The 24,455-nt window shown below is 51.5% G+C and overlaps 6 annotated features.

The window, feature by feature from the left end:
• Positions 1,369 to 1,869: an enhancer, noted in NCBI's record as "H3K4me1 hESC enhancer chr11:69328322-69328822 (GRCh37/hg19 assembly coordinates)". NCBI's record gives its function as "activates a minimal SCP1, AML or CMV promoter by ChIP-STARR-seq in primed H9 embryonic stem cells {active_cell/tissue: H9 hESC(primed)}" and the evidence as "EXISTENCE:reporter gene assay evidence [ECO:0000049][PMID:30033119]".
• Positions 8,523 to 9,280: an enhancer, noted in NCBI's record as "OCT4-NANOG-H3K27ac-H3K4me1 hESC enhancer chr11:69335476-69336233 (GRCh37/hg19 assembly coordinates)". NCBI's record gives its function as "activates a minimal SCP1, AML or CMV promoter by ChIP-STARR-seq in primed H9 embryonic stem cells {active_cell/tissue: H9 hESC(primed)}" and the evidence as "EXISTENCE:reporter gene assay evidence [ECO:0000049][PMID:30033119]".
• Positions 9,281 to 10,037: an enhancer, noted in NCBI's record as "OCT4-NANOG-H3K27ac-H3K4me1 hESC enhancer chr11:69336234-69336990 (GRCh37/hg19 assembly coordinates)". NCBI's record gives its function as "activates a minimal SCP1, AML or CMV promoter by ChIP-STARR-seq in naive and primed H9 embryonic stem cells {active_cell/tissue: H9 hESC(naive and primed)}" and the evidence as "EXISTENCE:reporter gene assay evidence [ECO:0000049][PMID:30033119]".
• Positions 11,282 to 11,482: a silencer, noted in NCBI's record as "peak1326 fragment used in MPRA reporter construct". NCBI's record gives its function as "represses an SCP1 promoter by STARR-seq MPRAs in K562 erythroleukemia cells {active_cell/tissue: K562}" and the evidence as "EXISTENCE:reporter gene assay evidence [ECO:0000049][PMID:32103011]".
• Positions 23,481 to 23,625: an enhancer, noted in NCBI's record as "145 bp 11:69350505 sequence used in MPRA reporter constructs". NCBI's record gives its function as "activates a minimal TATA-containing promoter with rs11322210 allelic activity by MPRAs in C283T melanocytes {active_cell/tissue: C283T}" and the evidence as "EXISTENCE:reporter gene assay evidence [ECO:0000049][PMID:36423637]".
• Positions 23,553 to 23,554: a transcriptional cis regulatory region, noted in NCBI's record as "rs11322210 or 11:69350505 MPRA-significant variant associated with a GWAS melanoma risk locus at 11q13.3". NCBI's record gives its function as "allelic transcriptional activity by MPRAs in C283T melanocytes {active_cell/tissue: C283T}" and the evidence as "EXISTENCE:reporter gene assay evidence [ECO:0000049][PMID:36423637]".

A 24,455-nucleotide genomic window follows, 5' to 3' on the forward strand; every position in this document is an offset into this window, starting at 1 on the left:
GGAAGTGGAAAGTGAGGATGCCTGCCCACCCGTCCAGGGTCGATCCTCGGCCCTCGGCTGTCAGTGCACAGTGGAGAGATGGAGCCCAAGGGCCAGAAGGCGGAGGTCTAGGGGCCAGCAGAAGGGATGCCGTCAGCTTGGCTGCTGCTGCAAGCCCACTCATCTCTGCACCTGGAGGGTGACATTCATTCGGCCAGGGTGGGGCAAGGGGATCTTGCCTTCTCAGCCCAGGGCCTGGTCTCATGAGTGGGAGTATTTGGGGTCCATGCAGAAAGAGCAGGGGAGATGGGGGTGGCCTCCAAAGTTGCTGTCAGCATGCCCTTGGCTCAGGCTTTGAAGTATGTTTCCTGGTGGGGCTCCAGGTGCACAGGTGCACGCACCTAGCCAGCCACTGAAAGGAGCGAGACCCCAGGGCCATGGTCGGTGCTGATAGGTGCACCTCTGAGTGGCTGTGGCTTCTGTTTTGACTGGATGGTCAAAACTGGGGTGTCTTTAATCTGCCTGGCAGCCTCCCAGGTACCCTGAGGGTTCCAGAAGTTGGTGGGGCCCACCATGTGGGCAGGGCTGCGAGAGCCCCCGAGATCACCCTGAAGTGCAGGGACAGATCCGGGCACCTGGGGAAGTGGAGACAGGTGGAGACTTTGCGGTGACTTGCTCCCAAGTGGGACACTTTCTCCAGCATCTGGGCTTGCAAGCTGCCAGTGATGGTGTCCTGTCCTCGGGCCGGGGCCCCTTTGCCTTCAGGATGAAACTCCTCTCCCCGACACAACCCAAGATAGAAAGCGTCGTTCAGCTGCCAAGTTGTTCTGAACACTGTGATGCTCGGAACCAGAAACAACCCAAGACATTGACCCGCTTGTGGGACGCAGCAGGAGGCCCCTCCGTGCCCACCAGTCCTTCCTGAGAGTGCAAGTATGTCAGAGCTCGGCTTTGGCCTTCACCCGCCAACCTCTCTGGGGTCAGCGGAGGGGCCGCCCTCTCACTGTTGCTCTCTCGCTCCCTGGCCAGGTCACAGTGGAGGTCTCTCCCTCCTCCCTGACCCCTGAGCTCCTGAAGACTCCCAGCCTGCAGGATGACCTTCCTGAGTTTCCACACCCTCCCCTCCATGGGGTCTGGGCCTTGTTGCTGCGGTGTCTGTCTGTGTCCTGCACGCGGATGGCGTCCAGGGCCGGGAAGAGGGGCTCACCTCCTTCTCCTCCTATCTGGCCTGGGTAATTGGGGACAGTGGGGAGACAACTGAGGTGACCTCTGCAAGACCCGCCCCCCACCACCTGGTGACAGCGGGTGTACGGCACTTCCTGCCGCACAGAAGTCAGCTTCCATCAGCCTCCACGAAGAGAGAATGTTAGGGTCTTGCTCGTGGGGGCCAGATTCCCCCTTCTCTCCCTCCCTTCTCTTCTCCCTCCCTGCTTCCCATCTTCCCTTTTTCCTTTCCTTCCTTCTCACCTTCCTCTCTTCCTCCGTCTCCTTCTTTCCTTCGCTCCCTCTCATCCTCCTCCCTTTTTCCCTCCCCATGGGGAGAGCTGTGATGACTCTCTCCTTACATAGAAGGGGGTGAGCCAGGCACAAGGAGGAGACACGAAGGCCAGGGAAGGAGCCTCTGCTTGAATAGCCCTGGGGACGGGGAGTTCACTCCCTCTGCAGACTGTGTCCACCCCATCTGGAGATCTTGCCTCAAGCTGAAAGCTCAGTGCTGGTGTCCCCGGCCCGGGTCCCCTTCCCGTCCATGGGAAGCGAGGGAGATTTGCAGGCCCAGAGCCTCTTCCTTGGCTTTTTCCTCCAGCCCCACCTCTTGGCTTCTCTGCAACTCCGCATTACATCTCTTTAGGCCCCAAACAGCCACCCAGGCCCCAAGAAGCCTGTCAAACCCCAGATGTTTGCCGACACCGTGAGAGGCCCCGGGTGTTCTAGAACACTTGGAGGCCTGGAAGCACTGTGTGGAAGGAACACCTGGCGGACAGGCTGCTGAATGGCTTTCTGTAGATGCTGGACAATGGACAGAACAGCCTCCTTCAGGTGACAGAGCCACAGGGGCCTCAGAAGGAGGGGTGACTCTCTCCACCTCTGTCCCACTCTTCCCCAGGCACCCAGGCTCTGCCTCCTGGTGTCACAAAGTCCCACCAAGACTCATGCATTGGGCCAGGCGCGGTGGCTCATGCCTGTAATCCCAGCACTTTGGGAGGCTGAGGCAGGTGGATCACTTGAAGCCAGGAGTTCAAGACCAGCCTGGCCAACATGATGAAATCCCGTCTCTACTAAAAACACAAAAATTAGCTGGGCATGATTGCATGTGCCTGTAATCCCAGCTACTTGGGAGGCGGAGGCAAGAAAATTGTTTGAACCCGGGAGGCAGAGCTTGCAGTGAGCCGAGATCGTGCCACTGCACTCCAACCTGCGTGACAGAGTGAGATTCCATCTCAAAAAAAAAAAAAAAAAGACTCATGCATTGAGGAATGTCCCAGTAGAAAGGATCTCAGGCAAAAAAATAAATAAATAAAAAATAAGAACCAAAAAAGAGGTAAAGGGACAAATGTCTGCCACAACTTGGTTCTGTCCTCACAACACACTCTGTGTAGGAGGATGCGGGTGTTCACAGCTGGCGTTGAAAGTGCAGTGTGACTGGGGCTTTGGTGGCTGCGAGAGTCAAAGGAGGGGCATCTCCACTCCACAGATCAATTCCAGGAGCCCAGTGAGGAAGGCAGAGGCCCTGATGCTTCTTGCTTCACAGAGGAGCAAACTGGTGCTCAGAGAGGTTGTGCTACTTGCCTAGGAACACACAGCCCAGCAGCAGAAGAGCCAGGACTAGACACTGAGTCTCACAACCCCACAGCATGGCTCTAGCATTGAATGTGCCCAAGAGAGCTGGACCTGCCGTGGCCCCACATGGAGACAGGGAAACGTCCACACAGGACAACGTCTTCCATGATGAAGATGTTTGGATGGTTCAGATCTCACCCAAACCTCCTGTTGAACTGAAATCCCCAGTGTTGGAGGTGGGGCCTGGTGGGAGGTGATTGGATCACGGGGGTGGAGATCTTGTGAATGGTTTGGCACCATCCCCCCTTGGTCCTGTATAGTGAGTGAGTTCTCCCCAAAGCTGTTTTTTTTAAAAGTATGTGGCACCTCCCGCTCCCCACATGGTGACTTCAGGCAGCTCCACCGAGCACTCCATACAGGAGACCTGCACAGGTGCCCTGAGCTGGCATGACTCCGCCCATGCCCTCTGGGATCCTGTTTACCTAAAATCCACAGTAACCAGAGCTCTCAGTCATCCTGACCTTGGGCCTGCAGATCCATCTCTGCAAATCAGGTCAAATAAACCAGTTGTTTAATTTAGGGGAAACAAGAGGCATACCTGAGCTTCCAGGTGTCTCCACCCCAGGAGTGATCCTCTAGCAGACGGCCCTGTGGCTGCTGCCTGCCCAAAGGCTTCTGGCTGGGCTTGCTCTTCCTGGACACTTGGTGCTGTGGTCTGCGTGTTTCTCACCTCCGAAACTCGTGTTGAAATGTAATTCTCAACGTAGCAGGATGGAGGGGTAGGGCCTTTAAGCGGTGATTGGGTCGTGACACCTCTGCCCTCATGAATGGATTAAGACATTCATAGATGAGTGAATTAATAGTTTAATGGATTGATGAGGTTGTCATGGGAGTGGAACTGAAGGCTTTATAAAAAGAGGAAGAGAGATCTGAGCCAGCACACCCAGCCCCGGTCATGTGTATTCAGCAGTTTCACATCAATATAAAGACATTCTTAAGGCTGCGAAATGTTTAAAGGAAAGAGGTTTAATTGGCTCACAGTTCTGCAGGCTGTGCAGGAAGCATGGTGCCCACATCTGCTTGGCTTCTGGTGAGGCCTCAGGGAGCTTTTACTCATGATGAAAGGCCAAGTGGGAGCAGGCATCACATGGTTAAAGTGGAAGCAAGAGAGAGAAGGGGGAGGGCCACACACTTTTAAGCAACCAGATATCAAGAGAACTTACTCACTATCTTGAGGACAGCACCAAGCCATTCATGAGGAGTCCACCCCATGATCAAAACTCTTTCCACCAGGCCCCACCTCCAACATTGGGGATTATGTTTCAATGTGAGATTTGGAGAGGACAAACATCCAAACCATATCACCATGTGATTTCTTGCACTGCCTTGAGACTTGGCAGAGAGTCCCCAGCAGCAAGAAGGCCCTCGCCAGATGCAACCCCTCGATCTGGACTTCTCAGCCTACAGAACTGTAAGATACAAATTTCTTTTCTTTATAGATGATTACCTAGTTTCAGGTATTCTGTTATAAGCAATAGAAAATGGGCAGAGACATCTAGCTCCTCTTGGTTTAGTCACAGCCGACAGCAGAGACATAGATGAGGGATCCTGGCTTCTAACCAGGTGGAGGAGGAGGAGAGGGTGCCAGAAGCTTCCTCTAAACTGCAGCAGTTGTGCCAGGTCCTGAGGGCAGGAGTGAGCTGCTCCCGTGCTGGGAAGAGCTTGGCTCAGGTCCATGGGAACATGGCGGCATTGAGGCCATCTTTCTGGAAGACCACTTGTGTGAGTCACCCACCTTCTTAAAACTCTTCAGCAGCTGAAGGTGATAAAAAGTCATGATTAAACATGATGCTGAGTCAAAGAAGGGTCAGGAAGGACCACATGTTGTGTGATTCCACTCCCATGAAGGTCTAGAGCAGGGAAATCCTCACCGGAAACCCACAGTCAACCCAGCACCTCCTGCCCTCACTTCCACACTCCCTCTGTCCACTGGCACTGTCCACTTCACCTCCTGCACCACCTCTGAGCTGCCCCCTCCTGCCACCTGCATTGCCATTGCCTTAGCCCAAGCATCTCTTCCCTGGATGGCTCCATCAGCCTTCCCTGGTCTCCATTTGCAGCCCTCCAGCCCATTCTCTAGTTCTGCCAAGCCCTGTAGGAATTCCCCCTCTTCCCCTCCAGCCTTTCCCACTGGCCCTGGCCCTGTCAGCTGCTCTCCACTGACCTAGGCTCCTGGGCTCTGTCCACCCTGTGCTTCTTCCTACAGCAGGGCCTTGACATATCTAATCCATTCCCATCCATCCCCAGAGCTCAGCTAAACCATCCGTTTCTCTGGGAAGACTGAGACCCTGACCTCCTTGGATGGTCAACTCCGCCCATGTGTGCCTCCTTAGCAGAACTCACCAAAATTGTAATTTTATATTTTTCCCTCTCTTCCATGAGGACATGAATTCCATGACAACAGAAATTGCATCTGTTTTTTTGTTTTGTTTTGTTTTGTTTTGTTTTGCCACTGCACCCTAGGCCACCCAGCATAGAGATGAATACTCACTGAATTTTAGGAAGAAACTTCGTTTGCACCTCAACCCCCAACCCCACTGCTTCCCCAGTCATGGCACTGCCTGATTAGCTTAAGGCGGGGTGGGCTGCTCCTCGGTGCAGCTTCATCTTCCCCGTGGTGAAATGCAGCATTTCCACCAGGCAGTCTCTAAGACCTCTGCACAATCTTAAATTCTGCAGCCATTTCCCTGATGTCTTCTTGCACCTGGTATGGCTGAGAGGTTCATGCCCATCAGATTCTCATTTCCTTGAATGTGACCTGTTTTCACCCTTGGAAGCTTTTAGGAGTTTCTATCTATACTACCCTGAAATTTCACCCAACTAAATATTTATTGTGTGTGGATGGGGCAGGGCGGGGTGTATGGGAGATGTATATCAAAGGATACCAAGTTGCAATTACATAAGATGAATAAATCCAGAGATCCAGAGACCTACAGTACAGCATGAGAACTCTAGCTAATAATATTGCATTTTACAATGAAAAGTTTTCTAAGAGTGGATTTTAGGTGCTCTTACCACACATGAAAAGGTAACTATGTTAGATGAAGGATATGTTAAATTGCTTACCTGTAGTAATCATTTCACTGTATGTGTATGTATATTAAAACATCACACTGTACACTCAAAATTTATACAGTAAATTTTAAAAAATCTTTAATGTGAATCATCTTTCAGATTTTTTTAAGAATCTTTTCCCCTTTCACAACTGTTCTGCCTTATATGGAGTAGATCCCAGCAACCTAAGACTCATATCCTGCCCCAACTGGGGAAAACATCTACCATGATGATATGGTTTGGGTCTCACCCAAACCTCATGTTGAAATGCAATCCCCAGTGTTGGAGGTGGGGCCTGGTGGGAGGTGACTGGATCATGGGGGCAGAGTTCTCATGAATGTTTTAACGCCAACCCTTCTTGGTACTGTATAGTGAGTGAGTTTTCACAAGATCTGGTTTGTTTAAAAGTGCAAGACACCTCCCATTCTCTCTTCCTCCTGCTCCTGCCTGTAAGATGCCTGCTCCTCCTTTGCCTTCTGCCATGATCCTGAGGCCTCCCCAGAAGCAGATGCTGCCACGCTTCCTGTACAGCCTGAAGAACCGTGAGCCAAAATAAACCTCTTTTCTTTATAAATTACCCAGGCTTGGGTATTTCTTTATAGCAGTGTGAGAACAGACTAATACACATGACTTCTTCCATCATTACTTCATCTTTGTTTGCACTTTTAATTCTTTCTGGAAATTCCATCCGCGGATGTGGGAACATCTGGATCTTCCTCTTGGTTCATTCCTTCTGGGTACTGGGAGAATTCTTCAGCTTGGAATTCCAGCTCATGAATTTGTTCTTCAGCTGTGTCCATTATGGTATTTATCCCATCAATTGATTTTTATTTTCTTTTTGACAATCAAATATGTAATTCCCAAGCTCTGCAACTGCTTCTATTTTGGACATCCTCAGCATTCCCTGAAGATGGTAATGTTTATGAGTGTGTATATTTTAAATCTCTTCCCTTTGCTGTTTAATTTTATTTCTGCAGCATTTGTTTTTCTGTTGTTGGGTCTGGTCTTCTTTTTACTCAAAGTCCTGGGGATCCCCGGTTGCCAGATCAGTGCTGTAGCCAGAACTACTCGTTCCTCTGCCCCCTGGTCTGAAGCCATCCCTGACAATGGTGTGGGGGCAAGGAGGGAGCCAAGCTCTTGTTCTTCCAGGGCCTGCCCCCTGGGCACAGCACTTACTCTCACAGATGGTGAGGGAGCAAATGTCTCTGCTGCCCATGGCCTGAGGAAAACCACCATGCTGGGGTCAGGGACCCCAACCTGTACCCTACCTGCCCACTTTTCAGCCACCTAGCTCCGAAGTTGGCTCCCCTGCTCTCTAGGCAGCCTTCTACAAATGCTTCAGAGCTGTGGCTGTTTTTCTATAGCTATTCCTGTCTGCTTCCCACCTTCCAAGAATCCCAGATGTTTTTAAGTCACTAAAGATGATGTTTCTTATGACACATTCACAGCACCTCTTTGGACATCTCATGTGATTTTTCAAGGATGTAGCCTTGTGTGTGCTGACTGCCACCTTGATTGGATCTTTCCAAGGGAATTAGTGAGAACCCACGAGACACAATCCCCACCCCACAGAGGGCACTTCAGACTACTTGATGGTGGCCAGGGACAGAAAGTTCTCCCTCGGCTGGTGGGTCCCTTCAGTGGAAAGGTGTGAGGAGCACAGTTGACTTGCTTACCCTTTACAGCAGGACTTACTAACATTCAGTATTCCCGTTGCCACATGTATCAGGCTCTTCTTGATACAGAGAAATACCAGCTGGGCACAGTGGCTCATGCCTGTAATCCCAGCACTTTGGAAGGCCAAGCTGGGAGGATCACTTGAGTCCAGGAGTTGGAGACCAGCCTGGGCAACATGGTGAAAGCTCATCTGTACAAAAATTACAAAAAAATATATATATATATATAGCTGGGCATGGTAGCATGTGCCACCAGTAGTCCTAGCTACTTGGGAGACTGAGATGGGAGGATCACCTGAACCCGGGAGGTTGATGCTTCAGTGAGCCATAATTGCACCACTGGACTCCAGCCTGGGTGACAGAGTAAGACACTGTCTTTTTTTTAAAAAAAAAAAAAAAAAAAAGAAAGAAAGAAAGAAAGAAAGAAAGAAAGAAAGAAAGAAAGAAAGAAAGAAAGAAAGAAAAGAAAAGAAAAGAAAAAGGAATATGCGAGGTTGGGTAATTTATAATGAAAAGTGGTTTAATTGGCTCATGGTTCTGTGGGCTTTACAGGAAGCATGGTGCTGGCATCTCCTCAGCTTCTGGTGAAGACCAAGGAAGCTTTCAATTGTGGCAGAAGGCTAAGGGAGAGCAGGCATTTCACATGGCAAAAGCAGGAAGAAGAGAGAGAGAGAGAGAGTGGGAGTTGCCACATACTTTGAAATGACCAGATCTCAGGAGAACTCACTTTCACAAAGAAAGCACTAAGCAATGAGGGATCCACCCCCATGACCCAAACACCTCCCCCCAGGCCCCACTTCCAGCATTGTGGACTACAATTCAACACAAGATTTGGGTGGGGACAAAGGTCCAAACTATATCATTCCACCCCTGGCTCTTCCCAAATCTCTTTCCACTCTATCTCTTCCTCCTGTTCCTGCCATGTAAGCAGGAGCATCATGAGGGGAAGAGATGTCATTCTTACATTGCAAAATACAATCATGCCTTCTCAAGAGTCCCCTAAAGTCTTGACTCATTCCAGCATTAACTCAAAAGTCCAAAGTCTCATCTGAGACAAGGCAAATCCCTTTCACTTATGAGCCTGTAAAATCAAAAACAAGTTAGTTACCCCCAAGATTCAATGGGGGTATAGGCATTGGATAAACATCTCCATTCCAAAAGGGAGAAACTGGCTAAAAGAAAGGGGTTATAGCCCCCATGCAAGTTCAAAACCCAGCAGGGCAGTCATTAAATCCTGCAGTTCCAAAATAATCTCCTTTGACTTCATATCCTGCATCCAGGGCACACTGATGCAAGGGGCAGCTTCCAAGGCCTTGGGGAGCTCTGCCTCTGTGGATTCACAGGGTTCAGCCCCCACAGCTGCTTTCATGGGCTGGTGTTAGTGCCTATAACTCTTGCAGGTGCATGGTGCAAGCTGCCAAAAAATCTACCATTCTTGAGTCTGGAGGATGGTGGCCCCCTTCTCACAGCTGCACTAGTCAGTTCCCCAGTAGATACTCTGTGTGGGAGCTCCAACCCCACATTTTCTCCCCACACTGCCCTAGTCGAGGTTCTCTGTGAAGGCTCCACCCCTGCAGCAGGCTCGTGCCTGGATAACCAACCTTTTCCATGCATCTTCGGAAATCTAGGCAGAAACTGCCAAACCTCTTTCACTGTTGCACTATTCTGTGCACCTCAGGCTTAACACCATGGGGAAGCCACAAAGGTTTACAGCTTGCATTCTCCAAAGTAGCAGCTTGGGCTATACCTGGACACCTTTGAGCCCCAGCTAGAGCTGGAGCAGCCTGGATGCAGGAAGCAATGTCCTGAGGCTGCACAGGGCAGGAAGGCCCTGGACTTGGGCCCTGAAACCAATCTTCCCTTCTAGGTCTCGGGGCCTGTGATGGGAGGGGCTGCCGTGAAGGTCTCTGAAATGCCTTTGAGGTCTTTTCCCATTGTCTTGGATAGTAGCACTTGGCTTCCTTTTAGTTATGCAAATATCTCTAGCAAATTAAGCTCAAGCTTCCACAGACCCCTAGGGCATGACCACGATGCAACCGAATTCTTTACTAAGGCTTAACACATGTGATCTTTGTTCCAGTTCCCAATAAGTTTCTCATTTCCACCTGAGACTTTGGCAGCCTAGACTTCACTGTCCATATCACTATCAGCATTTTGGTCACAATCATTTAACCATTCTCTAAGAGGTTCCAAACTGTCTCTCATCTTCATGTCTTCTTCTGAGCTCTCCAAACTCTTCTAACCTCTGCTCCTTACCCAGTTCCAAAGCTGCTTCCACATTTTCAGGTATCCTCATATTAATACCTCCATACCCCACTCTTAGTACCAATTTTCTACATTAGGCCATTGTTGTATTGCTATAAAGAAATACCCAAGACTGAGTAATTTGTTTATTTATTTATTTTTTTATTTTTATTTTTATTTTTATTTTTGAGATGGAGTCTCACTCTGTCACCCAGGCTGGAGTGCAGTGGCGCGATCTCGGCTCACTGCAAGTTCTGCTTCCTGGGTTCATGCCATTCTTCTGCCTCAGCCTCCTGAGTAGCTGGTACTACAGGCACCTGTCACCACGCCCGGCTAATTTTATGTATTTTTAGTAGAGACAGGGTTTCACCATGTTAGCCAGGATGGTCTCGATCTCCTGACCTCGTGATCCGCCCACCTTGGCCTCCCAAAGTGCTGGGATTACAGGCGTGAGCCACCGCGCCCAGCTGAGTCTGAGTAATTTATAAAGAAAAAGATTTAATTGGCTCACAGTTCTGCGGGCTTTACACAAATCATGGAGCTGGCATCTTCTTGGCTTCTGGGGAGACCTAGGGAAGCTTACGATCATGGCAGAAGGTGAAGCAGGAGCAAGAGAGAGAGAGAGTGAAGCCGGTGCCAGATAAACAACCAGATCTCACAAGAACTCACTATCACAAAGACAGCACCAAGCCATGAGGGATCTGCCTCCAGGACCCCGACACCTCCCAGCAGGCCTGACCTCCAGCATTGAGGATTACAGTTCAACACGAGATGTGGGCAAGGACAAATATCTGAACTATGTCACCACAGAACTCAGGAAGTTCAGGTAAGTCTCCTGGTCATAAGTGGTAGCTGCAGGACCCTAATCCAAGTATTCTCTTTCCAAAACCTCAGCTTATCTGGGATGCTCACAATCTATAAGGACCCCATTATCAGCATAACCTACCATCCCCTGATTCTAGAATATTTCTATTCCAATCCCTCCCTCCACAATTCACAGCCTCCTTGGAGTCAAAGCTAATCAGGTCTGCTGACAGGCCACTGGAGTCTGGAAGAACCCTCTCTGCAGCTCACTTGCTGAGGACAGTGAAGAGACTACCTCGTTTCACTGTGCCCATATCCTGACCTGCACAAGGGCATTATGGCTGTTGTGAGGACAGGTGAGGTGGCACAGGCAAAAGAGGTTAGTGCACAGTAGAAGAGAATAAACGTGCATTTCCCTGCTCTGTTTTTCTCAAAGCTGTGCTTGTAGAAGGGCACTGCCACTTTGGAGCCACATTCAGAGCCCAGATTCCAGGTCATCCCAGAAGGTTGAATGGATGGCCCCAGCCCAGAGACTGGATGGCTTAGAGTCTGATGGCAGGAGCTGATCCCATAGTAGGTTTAGATCTCCCCAGACTGCCCATGTGTGACAGCTAGGTGGTTTCTGCAGAGTCCACCCCACTCCAAATTGCAGAGTGGCGTCTGTTTGGTCTAAGATAATCACGATCATCTTAACCCCCTTGCCAGAGTGACTCCTTTAGGGATCAAAAACAACTCAGCTGATCAGCAAGCACACAGCACTTCCCTGGCCACAGTGATTAACTCAGGTTGGTCTAACCAGAACAAGGCTCAAGACTTCTGTTAGATTAAGACCTCTCTCTCGCTCTGACCAGTAAGGGGTGCAGATACAAAGCCTGGAGCTACTGCAGCTACTTTGTTGCCATGAGGTAACCTAGCCCAATAACAGCACCAACAAGAAGCAGACACAGCAAGAGAACTGCTGAACTCTGAAGCCAGAGCCCTGGTTAAACTGCACCGGAAGCCTACCTGCCACCACCCTTCCCAACTGGGTGGGCCACTTTGGGGTGGGTTTTCTGCTTCCTGTCACAAAACAGCCCAAACTGACAGAGAAGCCAAGGATAGGTTGCTACCAGTTCCACTAGCAATTCAAGAGCTGAGCCTGATAATGTGGAATGAGATTCCTCTACTAAGCATCCCAAGGTTTGGTCTGGGAAACCTTTTCTCTTCTGTGTCTTCCATATGGTCTGAACCAGTCAATAATGGCTCCTGGGTGGTTTTCCACCTAGGAACCAGGACACCAGAGCCAGAAGGAGGCACAAACTTGTCTAATGTCACCCAGCTAGTGAATGCCAAATCCAGGGCTCGAACCCAGGCCTTCTGAACTCCAGGCTATATGCCATTCCTGAATAGAAACTCAACCAGCTGGCCTGCCCCGCCTGGCCAATTGAACTAGTTGCTAAATTGATACTTTGCAAAACATGCATGTTTCCAATTGCAGAGCGTTGCTGTGACTTTGAAGCAGCGTGTAGCCTTCCCCTGATGTGGTGAAGGACGGAGGTGGCTGGCCTGGTATGGAGAGGGATCTTAGGAAACTCTCCGCAGAAGCCCCAGGGCACCCACTCACTGGAAAGAGATCAGAAAGCAGCCTCTCTCCCGAGGCCGCAGGCAGCCAGCTCCCCACTTAAAAAGGACCTGGTATCAATTTCACTTTTTTTGTCCTTATTGGTGCCTCCCTAATGAGATGATGTTAGAGTTGGAAATAAAGAGATGAGTTGCTGGGTAAATAGATAAATAGATAAATAAAGCCTGGGCTTCTTCCAGGAATGCAGCCCTCTCCCTCCCGGCGGCTGGAGGAGGCGTGGGTGTCGCCTGACAGCGGCCCAACTTCTTGCCAAGGCGCTGGGGAGTGGGGGCCCTGAGGACACAGCTATCGGCCACCACTTCCTGCACACCTACCAGATGCTGGCCTCTGCTTTGCTTGCCGTCCCTCCTTTAGTCTTTGCAATGACTCATGAAATAGGCAGGCGTCACCCCTCAAGTTCAGACAAAACAGTGGAGACCGAGAAAGGAAAGTGACCGGAACCAAGTCATGGCTTGCAAGTGATGGGGCAGAGATTTCAGGTCAGGTCTGTCTGTGTCCAAAGACAAATATCGCTGCTGTCATGGAAGCCCCAAGGAGCTCACGGTCCCCTTGGGGGCAAATGGCTCCCTCGGGAAATGACAGCAAAACACCCAAGATGGAGAATTTTCATCACCCTGCGCGGTGTGATGAGGGGCTGGGGGGAACTGGGGCTGGAGTTGCCAGGGGGCCTGAAAGGAGAGGCTGCACAGGTAGAGAGGCACCCTGGAGGGCCACCGCGGGACCTGCTCCCTGGGCCTGCCCCCATGTCTGCCTGCCCCGTCCCCACACTTGCCCCCTCTGCCCTCATCCCTGCCCGCCCCGTCCCCATGCTTGCCTCCACGGGCCTCTCCTCGCACAGGAGGAGGGGCTGTTCCTGCCGCACACCTGCGGTGGCCATCCTCTCACTCAGCATGACAGCTGCTGGTCCGTGGTGCTCAGGGGTGGCTGCGCAGGCTATTAGAATGTGTCCCTACATCCACAGTGGTTATTATGCACTGCTTTCCGAGGAGCCGCCAGACTTCCCCATAATCTGGCAACTAAAGGGTTGGCACTTGGCACGGGAAGTGGGGACTCCAGAACCTGCTTCAGGGTCTGGTTGTGGTGCCCCACCTGGTAAACATTTCGGAACTTACCCTCGATTAGGATAGAACTCAGGGTCCCTGCTGGAGCCCACCACATCCTCAGAGCCAGCCTCCTAGAGCCTCTCCCCTGCCCCACTCCAGCCAGGGCCTCGTTGCTGTTTCTCAGGAACGCCAAGCAAAAGTGCACCCAGGATGCCTGCACCTGCAGATCCTGCTGCGGGAACTCGCTGTCCCCGACTCCCCTCAGCCTCTGTGCGGCATCACCTTGCTGGGGGGTCCCCACCGCCCTGTACCAAAGAGCAGCACCAGCAACCCCCAGCACTCCCTTCTCCTCCACCCCATTTTACCTCTTCCCAGATTCTCTGTCCTCAGACTCATATTACTATGGATTGAGTTACCCTTGTCGAATCCTCTTGCCAACTAGGAGAGCCCATGCAGGCCACGCCTTGTTCCCTGTCACACCCGTGCCTGGAACAGTGCCTGGCACAGGCAAGGCACACTGGGGTGCTGAGCTGAGTGATTGAATGAACAAATAAATAGATGTTTCCACTCGCCTTTCCTGAGCCCTACTGTGTGCATGACTCTGCACTCCAGGCTATGGGGCAGCCAGGCAGGGGTGCCGAGCTGTGCACACAGTAGGGCTGCTGATTTCCAGAACTCCTGGGAATGAGTGGGGTTAAAGCGGGAGGGGCACAGGGGAAGAGCTGAGGGGTCAGCATGAGCCCAGGAGAGTGGAGGGAGACAGTGTCCTAAGCACATGCCCTGTGGGAAGGAAGAGGCCCAGAGCACACGCCGGGACCAGAGCAGGGCCCCAGTTTTGGAGCGAGTCAGGCCTCTGTGTCCTGACCTCCAGCAAAGGAGAGGAGACTCCGAGTGTCCCAGGCCCCCCAGGAGGGTTGCTCAAGGGAGCCCTGGGCATCAGTCCTTAGAAATGGGCCCCTGCACATGTGTGTGCTGTCGGGAGCCCAGATTTTCTTGAAAGGAAGACTCAGCCACTGTGCCCCTTTCTTAATTTAAAACACTCCCTTGGCAGGGTGTGGGGGCTTACGCCTATTAACCCAGCACTTTGGAAGGCCAAGGTGGGTGGATCGCTGCACCTGGGAGTTTGAGACGAGCCTGGGCAACACGATGAAACCTCGCCTCCACAAAAAATACCAAAATGAGCCAGGTATGGTGGCGTACACCTGTAGTCGCAGCTGAGGCGAGAAGATGGTTTGAGCCCAGAAGTTCGAGGCTGCAGGGAGCCATGATCGTGCCACTGCACTCCAGTCTGGGCGAGAGAGTAAAACCCTGTCTCGACAAAAAAATAAAAATGAACATAAAATAAAATAAAAACACCCCCAGATAGTTCTGTTGTGGGTGATGTTTATTTCTTTTTGAAAGTTTTTAGTATTTTCCAAGTTGTCCAGAAAATTGTAACCAGAAAAAATAAGCCATAATTGCTGTTAAATGTTTTTGTTTTTGTTTTTTTTGAGAGGGAGTCTCGCTCTGTCGCCCAGGCTGGAGTGCAGTGGCGCAATCTCAGTTCACTGCAACCTCCACCTCTCAGGTTCAAATGATTCTTCTGCCTTAGCCTCCCGAATAGCTGGGACTACAGGCGTGTGCCACCATGCCAGGCTAATTTTTTGTATTTTTAGTACAGATGAGGTTTCACCATGTTAGCCAGGATGGTCTCGATCTCCTGACCTCGTTATCTGCCTGCCTCGGCCTCCCAAAGTGCTGAGATTACAGGCATGAGCCGTGCCGTCCTGTTAAATGTTTTTATTATTTTAAAAACACTACAGAAAGGAACAATCACTTGTGTTAATAAATTCATATAATGGAATTTTACAGAATCTTTAAAATATTTATGAATTGATTTTAATGCCATGAAAAATAGATAGTGGGAAAAAATCCAGATACTGAATTGTTGGCTCTGAGCAACATAAACTTGTATGTACATAGTAGGCTGGGTGTGGTGGCTCACGCCCGTAATCCCAGCACTTTGGGAGGCTGAGGCTTCAACACTAGCCTGACCAACATGGTGAAACTCCATCTCTACAAAAATACAAAAATTACCCAGGCATGATGGCAGGTACATGTAATCCCAGCTACTCAAGAGGCTGAGGCATGAGAATGGTTTGAACTCGTTAGGTGGAGTTTGGAGTGAGCAGAGATTGAGCCACTGCACTCCAGCCTGGGCAACAGAGAGAGACTCCACCTCAAAAAAAAAAAGCATGTTTACATATATTTATATGCATGGGCATGTGTGTGTACACATGCATATATAGACATACAGAGTGTGCATACACAGGCATGTGTACACACATGCACACACAAGCAGGCACACACACCCAAACCAACATCTGGAAGGGAAAATGCCAGCAAGTAGTGGTGATGTCTGGGTGGTGGCATTCTGGATTTATTTGCCTTTTTAATCATTTTCTGTACTTTCCACATTTCTCTCAACTATTTTAAATGTTATCATCAAGGCTGGGCAGCATAGCACGACCCTGTCTCTACAAAAAATTTAAAAATTAGCCATGCATGGTGGTGCACACCTGTGGTCCCTGCTGCTCAGGAGACTGAGGTGGGAGGGATCACTTGAGCCTGAAAGGTGGAGGTTGCAGTGAGCCATGATTGCACCACTGCACTCCAGCCTGAGTGACAGAGTGAGACCCTGTCTCAAACATAATTAATTCACTGAATGTTATTATTGGAAAGCATTTTTGTTTCAAATAAGGGTTGAAGCATAGACATCAGAGAGAAAAGCAACCACCTCTCTTGTTTATTTTTCCAACCAACATTACAGCCCTTGAACAGGACACGCAGGTGCCCAAGGAGACCCGTGCCACACTGTTTGACCTCATAATCCCATGCCTAAGAAGCCGTAAGAAAATAATTCCACAGAAAATAACAACTATACAATCTGCTAATGTGTGGATCGCAGAGCTATGTATAAAGGGGTGGGGTGGGGGAGGGGCGGGGAGTGAAACTGACCTAGTACCAGCCAAATACTGTTTGGAGAGATGACGGCTTTGGAGAAGTCAGGGGGCATTTGGGAGGTGGCTACAAACTCGGCTGTCACGAAGCACGGTGAGATCTCAAAACATGAAAAATATTTTGTGTTGGCTGGGTACGGTGGCTCACGCCTGTAATCCTAGCACTTTGGGAGGCCAAGGTGGGAGAATCACCTGAAGTCAAAAGTTCGAGACCATCCTGGCCAACATGGTGAAACCCTATCTCTACTAAAAATACAAAAATTAGCCGGGTGTGGTGGTGCATGCCTGTAGTCCCAGCTACTCAGGAGGTGGAGGCAGGAGAATCACTTGAACCTGGGAGGTGGAGGTTGCAGTGAACCGAGATCATGCCACTGCACTCCAGCCTGGGTGACGGAGTGAGACTCCATCTCTCTCTCTCTCTCTCTCTCTCTCTCTCTCTCTCTTTCTCTCTCTCTCCATATATATATATATATATATATGGTGTTAATGGTGAAGTTAATATAGTGAAAAGGTGTAGGTGGGCCCTGACACCCAAGCTCTGTCAGGGTGTGGACCAGGACCCAAGCGCCAAATCCACTCACTGAGCATCCAGCAACCCTGTGACTTGGCTCCAACACGTCTGACTGTGCCCAGTGATGCTCCAGGCAGAGAAGACAGCAGTGAGCAGAACAGACGGGCCCGGCTCTCATGGAGTTGATCTTCTGCGGGGGTCGGGAGGCTTGACAGACGCTCCATCAATACCTAATCAGTCCCATGGCACAGGCACCGGGGGAAAGCTAAGGCAGGTGGGGCCATGTGCCACCCGTCTCCTGGGGGTGCCGCCGGCCCCCGTCTCCCTGCTTTCTGCAGTCACCTGTAGCCAACAGAAGAGAAGTGCAGTGATCCACCTCCTGTCCAGGCCCGGCCCATGGAGACCTCCCCTGTGCAATTCTTTCTCTCTTCTGCTGACTGCTGTCCAATGTAGGGAAACCAGGAGAGGACTCCAGGACCTTGGGGAAATGGAGCCACAGATGGAAGATGCCTGGGTCCTTGAGTTGCTGCTCAGAGGCGAGCTGCTCACTGGTCAAGGTCACCCATGTGGGCTGGATAAGGAACAAATGTGTATTGTGTTGAGTTAACGTATGTTTGGGGAGGGTCTTTGGTGCAGCAGCTCACCTGCCTAATGGAGGGGCTAGGAAATGTTTGCATGGGGTGAGAAGGAGGCTTTGCCCTTGAGAGAGAATGGTCAGGAAGGAAGGTCCTGCGGCCCAAGAGGACGTCAGAACTGAGATTGGGAGGAAATGGAGAGCAAGCCACGGGGCTACCTGAAGGGAACCCACCCCAAGCAGAGGGCATGAGTGTGCCCGGAAGGGTCCATGAAGGAGGAGGAGGCCTCGGGGGAGGGGGTGGGGGCAGGGCAACAGAGCGAGGGGTGGAAAGAGATGAGGTTACACAGGCCTGGGAACCAGAGACACAGAGCCTGGCAGGTGTGTTCAGAGCTCAGCACCGACTCTGGGTGAGACAGAAGCCACAGCCAAGGAGTTCATGACCCAATCAACTTTCTAAAGAATCTGAAGGCATCGCTCTGTGTTATTGAGGACGCACTGCAGGAGGCGCTGCACAGAGCTTGCAGGAGACCCGAGGGTGGAACACAACGAGCAGAAAGAAGCACCCAGGATGCCCCAGGCTGGAGCCTAAGTCAGTGGGGAGAGGGCTGCCACAGGGTCAGCTGGGGAGATGGAGAGATGAGCTGTCCTGTGTGGCTTTGAACCCAGGACGCTGCCAGGAGGTCTCCTAGATGGTTGGGTCTCTGAGTCTGGAGTCCAGGAGGGAGGTCAGGCTGGAATTACAAAGCGGGGACTTCAGGGTATAGCAGGTGATGGAAATGAAGAGAGACGCTGACCTGGGGAGGAGGGAAAGAAGGGCCGAGGGTGGGGGCCCCCTGCGGCTCACGGGTCTGGAGCCTCCGAAGGTGGGTCAGGGAGATGAAGGGAGTGAGGAGGCCACAGTGACCCACTGGCCAGGCCAAATCAGCCCTGAGGGCTGACCCTTAGGTCCGGCGACAAGAGAGCCATGGGGGAGGGGCCTGGGGTGAGGTGCAGCTTCTCCCAAGAGGCAGGAGAGAGGGCAGCCAGGGGTGCCCACATGGTCAGAAGTGCTGTTGGAAAGAGGAACAGAGTAGGGTAGTGGCCGGAAGGAGAAGCAGTGTCTAGGGAGGTTTGACTTATTTTTAAGGTGAAGGCGTGTTTATCAGCTGATGGAATCACCCAGCCAAGAGACAAGGCTGGGGCTGGTGAGGGTCTGGGCCCAGCATGGAGGGGGCTCCTGAGCCAGGAGAGGGGGCACAGCACATACGGGCAGCAGGTAGAGTCCTGGAGGCTGGCAGAGGGCAGAGAAGGTGGGAAATCCAAGTCGGGGAGAGGGGACCTCGGACGCCAAGGTCAGTTGGCCGGTCGGTGGTGGGAATTTCAGGTGACAGTTCTGTGCCCAGGTGCAGCAGCGTGAAGACAGAGGCCACAGAAGGACGTGAGAAGGGAAATCCCAGTGCAGAGGTGAGGGGTGCGGGGCAGTGACCGTGTGGATGAGAGGGACAGGAGAGGTGGGATCTGGGGGTTGAGGTGCTGGGGGTGGTGCTTGAAGTTGAGATGGGGAGATGGTAACGAGAAGGGAGGGGAGGAGAGAAGAGGAGGAGGTGAAGGCTCTGGGAGGCCGGGACCACCCACAGGGATGTTCAAGAACTGGGCAGGAGTGATGTGGGGAAGCGACCGTGAATCCGGGGTTAAAATCTTCCAGGAGTGAGGGACGACCTGGGATTCGTAGATGACTCCAGAGTAAAAGGCAGAGTCTGAAGGTCCCAGCTCAAAGCCTGGGTAGGAGGGAAGTAGAACATTCTGGAAAGAAAGTGAGGAGTGAGAGGACACCTCCCCCCTCCCCAGCACCAGGGGAAACAGAACCTCTGGGTGAGTTGCAGTGCAGGAAGCTTCAGGCAGAGCAAGAAGGTGAGGGGACCCTTGCGGGAGATGAGAGGAGGCAGCACCAGCGCCAGGGCGTCCCCTCTGCCTGTCTGCACCTGCCTGGGGCAGCTGCCTTCTCTGCTCCTCTGCCTAGGGTTTCTCCAGCCCAGACCCCTAGAGTTGTTCTATTCAGCACCTGAGAGGAGACCCTCAGCAGCCAGGAGAGGAAGCCGTCGGGGAGAACCCCATGTCCCAGCCTCTCCACCTTCTGGAGGACCAAGGGTCTCCAGTGGAATGGACCCTGGGTTCCCATTGAGGTTACCTGCTCATCAAAAGACACACTTTGGGCTTTTCTCTCTGTCTCACCTGAGCTTCCTGGGACCACCTCCCCTGTCCCTACATCTTTAGCTCAGGGTCAGCCTTGGGAGGAACGCTAACCAAGCCCAGGGACTCTCTGGACGCTGGATATTAGCTGCAAAGGCCACCGTGGGAACGCTGTGGGTGAGGATTAGGATAGAGGAGCCAAAAAGGAAAGATCTCACCTAGTGGGAGGCAGGTGAACACCCAGTGCCCCAGGTTCCCTTGTGGGCAGGGTCGGGGGGATGTGACGGGGAGAGGGGGCTTAGAGGGCTTTGTCCTACCATCCAGCTGTCAGGAGGGGCTTCCCCTCGTTCACGCCAATGGCAGCGCCAGGTGTTCAGGGAGCTCTTGCGTTCAAACCACGAAGAAGACGCAGTTTAATCTCATCCCACGCAGATAAAGAGTAAGTTATTTTTTTCTGTTTCAGAATGTCATATTCATTTTTTACATCTAACAAAACCACTTTTTAGAAAGCTAATCACAGTCTAACCGAATATGCAGTGCAGCAATTATGCTCCTCGCCTTTATCCAAAGGAGTTGAGACGTCCACGCAAAAACCTGCACACCGATGTGTACAGCAGCCTTATTCATAATGACCAAAACTTGGAAGCAACCCACAAGTCCTTCAGTAGGTGAAGGGTTGAGCCGCGGTGCATCCAGACAGTGCAATATTATTCAGCGCTAAAAAGACACGAGCTATCAAGGCCTGAAAAGACATGGAGGAAACTTCCACGATATTAGTAGGTGAGAGAAGCCCATCTGAAAAGGCTACACACCGTATGAGTCCAACTCTTTGACATTCTAGAAAGGACAAAACTACAGAGAAAGTAAAATAATCAGTGGTTGCCAGGAATTTGGAGAGAGGGGTGAACAGGTGGAGACAGATTTTTAGGGCAGTGAAACTCTTTGTATGATGTTAAAATGGGGATACAGGGCATTAGACATTTGGTAAAACCCAGAGAATTTACAATAGAAGGCCAGGTGTGGTGGCTCATGCCTGTAATCCCAACACTTTGGGAGGCAGAGGCAGTGGATCACCTGAGGTCAGGAGTTTGAGACCAGTCTGGCCAACATGGTGAAACCCCATCTACACTAAAAATACAAAAAGTAGCCAGACATGGTGGTGGGCACCTGTAATCCCAGCTACTTGGGAGGCCGAGGCAGGAGAATCGCTTGAACCCGGCAGGTTGCAGTGAGCCAAGATCGTGCCACTGCACTCCAACCTGGGTGACAGAGTGAGATTTTTGTCTCAAAAAAAAAATAAAAAAGAGAGAGAGAGAATTTACAATAGAAAATTAGAGTGAACCCCGATGTAAACTACGGCCTTTAGTTAATAATAATGTATCAACACTGCTCATCAATTGTAAAAATGTGCCACATTAATGCATGATGTTAATACCAGGGGGAATTGTGCTGGGGGGGAGAGGGTGATATGATTTGGATCTGTGTCCCCCACAAATCTCATATTGAATTGTAATTCCCAAATTTTTTTTTTTTGAGACAGAGCCTTGCCCTGTTGCCCAGGCTGGAGTGCAGTGGTGCCATCACAGCTCACTGCAACCTCCACCCCCCAGGCTCAAGTGATCCTCCCACCCCAGCCACCTGAGTAGCTGGGACTACAGGCGTGCACCACCATGCCCAGCTAATTTTTTTGTATTTTTGGTAGAGAGAGGGTTTCTCGATGTTGCCCCCAGGCTGCTCTTGAACTCCTGGGCTCAGGTGATCTGCCCACCTCGGCCTCTGCAAGTGCTGGGATTACAGGTGTGAGCCACGGTGCCTGGCCAGGCCGTGTGAGAATGAACGAGTACAGGGGGGTATATGGGAATTCTCTGGACTTTCTGCTCAATATTATTGTAAACCTAAAACTTCTCTAAGAAATAAAGGCTATCAAGTCGAAACAAAAACAAAAACAAGAAAAGCTCTAAACCCGGATTTCACAGGAGCCACGCTTGCTGGCGACCACAGCTGGTAGGGAACCCTGTTTCTCTGAGGCTGACGTACCTCTCCTTGGTCAGAACCCCGCCCTCGTCCTACCCACCCCCACTCAGCCCCTTCCGGCTGCTCCGGAGGCTGGGAGACCAAAGCAGCGAGAGCTGGGACCCCTCACCGCCTTCCCCACACCCTTGTCAGGGCCGGGCAGCAGTCAGGGCGGTGGTGGCAGGCGCCAGCCGATGTCTGGTCCAGGAGTCCCTGGCCAACCCCAGAGATGAGGCTGTGGCCCTGCCAAGCTTCCTGGGCTGCACCTCCTGAAGGGGGACCCCATCCCATTGTCTATGTCTGAGCCACACCTGGACAAACATGTTCTGTCTCTGAGCCCTAAAGCTCCGTTTCCTCTGGTGCGAGAATAAGATCAGGAAGTCCTTATACACAGTGTCCCTGTCCTGGCCACCCTGGAATGGGAACAAAGCCTCTCCTTTCATGGGGTCTTTCTGAGACTCAGTGACATTCCCATGAGACCCATGGCTATGGCCCGGGCTCCCTGTTCAAACACAAGTCGTCAGTGACCTGACCCAAGGGACATGCCGGTCTGATACCAGCCAGCAGCCGGTGTGCCGGAGGCTTATCAGAGCTGCTCGGGTTACCCCGGGGAGTGCCGCCCTGGCCCCGGCCCCATCAGTGCACCTGGCCGTGCCCAGCCTCTAATCCAGCCGGACTGTGGGCTGCTTTCTGGAGACCTGGGGTTCTGTGAATGTGACCAGCAACTACCTGCAGGAGTGGGGTCGCTGCGTGGGAGGGACTCAGGCCCCCGAGTCCCTTTATAACTGTTCCTTTAGGACAGCCTGTAGGGCTTTTTGGAAAAATGACACTGGCTACAACACAGATGGACCCTGAGGATATTGTGGTGAGCAAAATAAGCCCGTCATAAAAGAAGGAATGCTCTGGGGTCCCACTTCCATGAGCTCCCTAGAGCCGTCACACCCACAGAGATGTGGCCAGGCGCAGTGGCTCACACCTGGAATCCCAGCACGTTGGGAGGCCAAGGCAGTAGGATCACCTGAGGTCAGGAGTTTGAGACCAGCCTTGCCAACATGGAGAAACCCCATCTCTACTAAAAATACCAAAAATTAGCCAGGCATGGTGGCGTGTGCCTGTAATCCCAACTACTCAGGAGGCTGAGACAGGAGAATCACTTGAACCCGGGAGGTGGAAGTTGCAGTGACCGAGATTATGCCATTGCACTCCAGCCTGGGTAACAAGAGCGAAATTCCATCTCAAACAAACAAACAAACAAGCAACAAAAAAATCCACAGAGATGTAAAGGGAGAGTGGTGGGGTCAGGAGCTGGGGGATGGGAGGGGGAGTGAGTGTTCAATGAGGGCAGAGTTTAAGTCTGGGAAGACAAGAATGTTCTAGAGATGATGGTGGTAATGATTGTATAACCATGTGAATGTATGGTTGAAATGGTGAACTGTTACTACAAACATAAAATAAAACACAAATGCTGCTCACCCCAAACTCTAGAATAGGAAATAATTGTTTTTCCTTCAAAATGTAGATGAGAGAGGTGCTGCCAAAAATTCTGTAAGACCTCTTCTTCTAAGCTTTGCACAAGAAACTTGCACAATAATTAATCAAAGTACTTGAAATATAAAAAATGAAAATGTTTGGGCCGGGTGCGGTGGTTCTTGCCTGTAATCCCAGTGCTTTGGGAGGCTGAGGCAGGAGGATCGGTTGAGGCCAGGAGTTCAAGACTAGCCTGGGCAAAATAGCGAAAACTTGTCCGTACAAAACATTAAATTAAAAAGAAATGAAAAAGAAAAAACGACTCTACTAATAAAATATTATGATTATTATCAGAGACAGGGTCTCACACTGTCACCCAGGCTGGAGCAGTGGCATGATCATAGTTCACTACAGCCTGGAGTTCCTGGGCTCCAGTGATCCTCCCATCACAGCCTCCCAAGTAGCTGTGACTACAGGCACGTGCCACCACACCCAGCTAATTTTTTTGTATTTTTTAGAGAACGAGTCTCGCTATGTATGATGCCCAGGCTGTTCTTGGAACTTCTCTGGGGCTAAGTGATTCTCCCGTATCAGCCTCCCAAAGTGCTGGGGATTACAGACAGGAGCCACCATGCCTGGCATAAAATATATTTTTTAAGAGTATGAAAATCACTTCTGTTTCACCCTCTACAACAATGCAAGAATGTTCCAGAGTGTGAAGGAGCTGCTTGTGGCATCCCACAGTCCCTTGTCACCCATAAGAAAAGTCCATGCCCTTCCACAGCATCCGGCCCTCCTGCTGCTCAGCCCCGCTGCTCTACAGAGCCCCCCCACACTCGCCCCAGGGTTCCCGCCTGCCCAGACCACTTCTTGCCTGGCCCAGCTAGCATCCCCCTCCTCGGCCCAGGCCCCTCCCTCCCCTCATGCCCATCATGCCCCATCCATCCCCAGCACCCTAGTCCTCTTTCCAGAAGCTCCTGCCTGCAGGCTCTGCCATAGCCGCATCCTGTCTGCTCACTGAGCTCATTCCCCACCAGCAGCACCAGTCTTGTGAGAAGCTCCTCGGGCCCTGCCCCCTGTCTCCTTGAACTGGGATGGACTGAACTATGTCTCCTGGAATAGACTGAACTGTGTCTTTCCCATGCTCCTATGAGGACATCCTCATCCCCAGAGTGAAGGTATTTGGAGACAGGGTCTTTGGGAGATGACTATGGTTAGGGAAGGTCTGAGAGTGGGGCCCTATGATGGAATTAGTGCCCTTATGAGAAGCAACACCAGAAAGAGAGTCCTTGCGAGCTGTCTCTCCACCCCCACCATGTGAACACAGAGCGGACGCAGCCTTGCACACCGGCAAGGCAGGGAGCCCTCACCAGGAACTGAATCAGCCATCACCTTGTTCCTGGACCTCCAGCCTCCAGGTGGGTCAGGTGCACTGAGTCAGTGAATGAATGAAGGGCTGG

Source organism: Homo sapiens, chromosome 11, assembly GCF_000001405.40.
Source record: "Homo sapiens chromosome 11, GRCh38.p14 Primary Assembly".
In the NCBI taxonomy this organism is placed as follows: domain Eukaryota; kingdom Metazoa; phylum Chordata; class Mammalia; order Primates; family Hominidae; genus Homo; species Homo sapiens.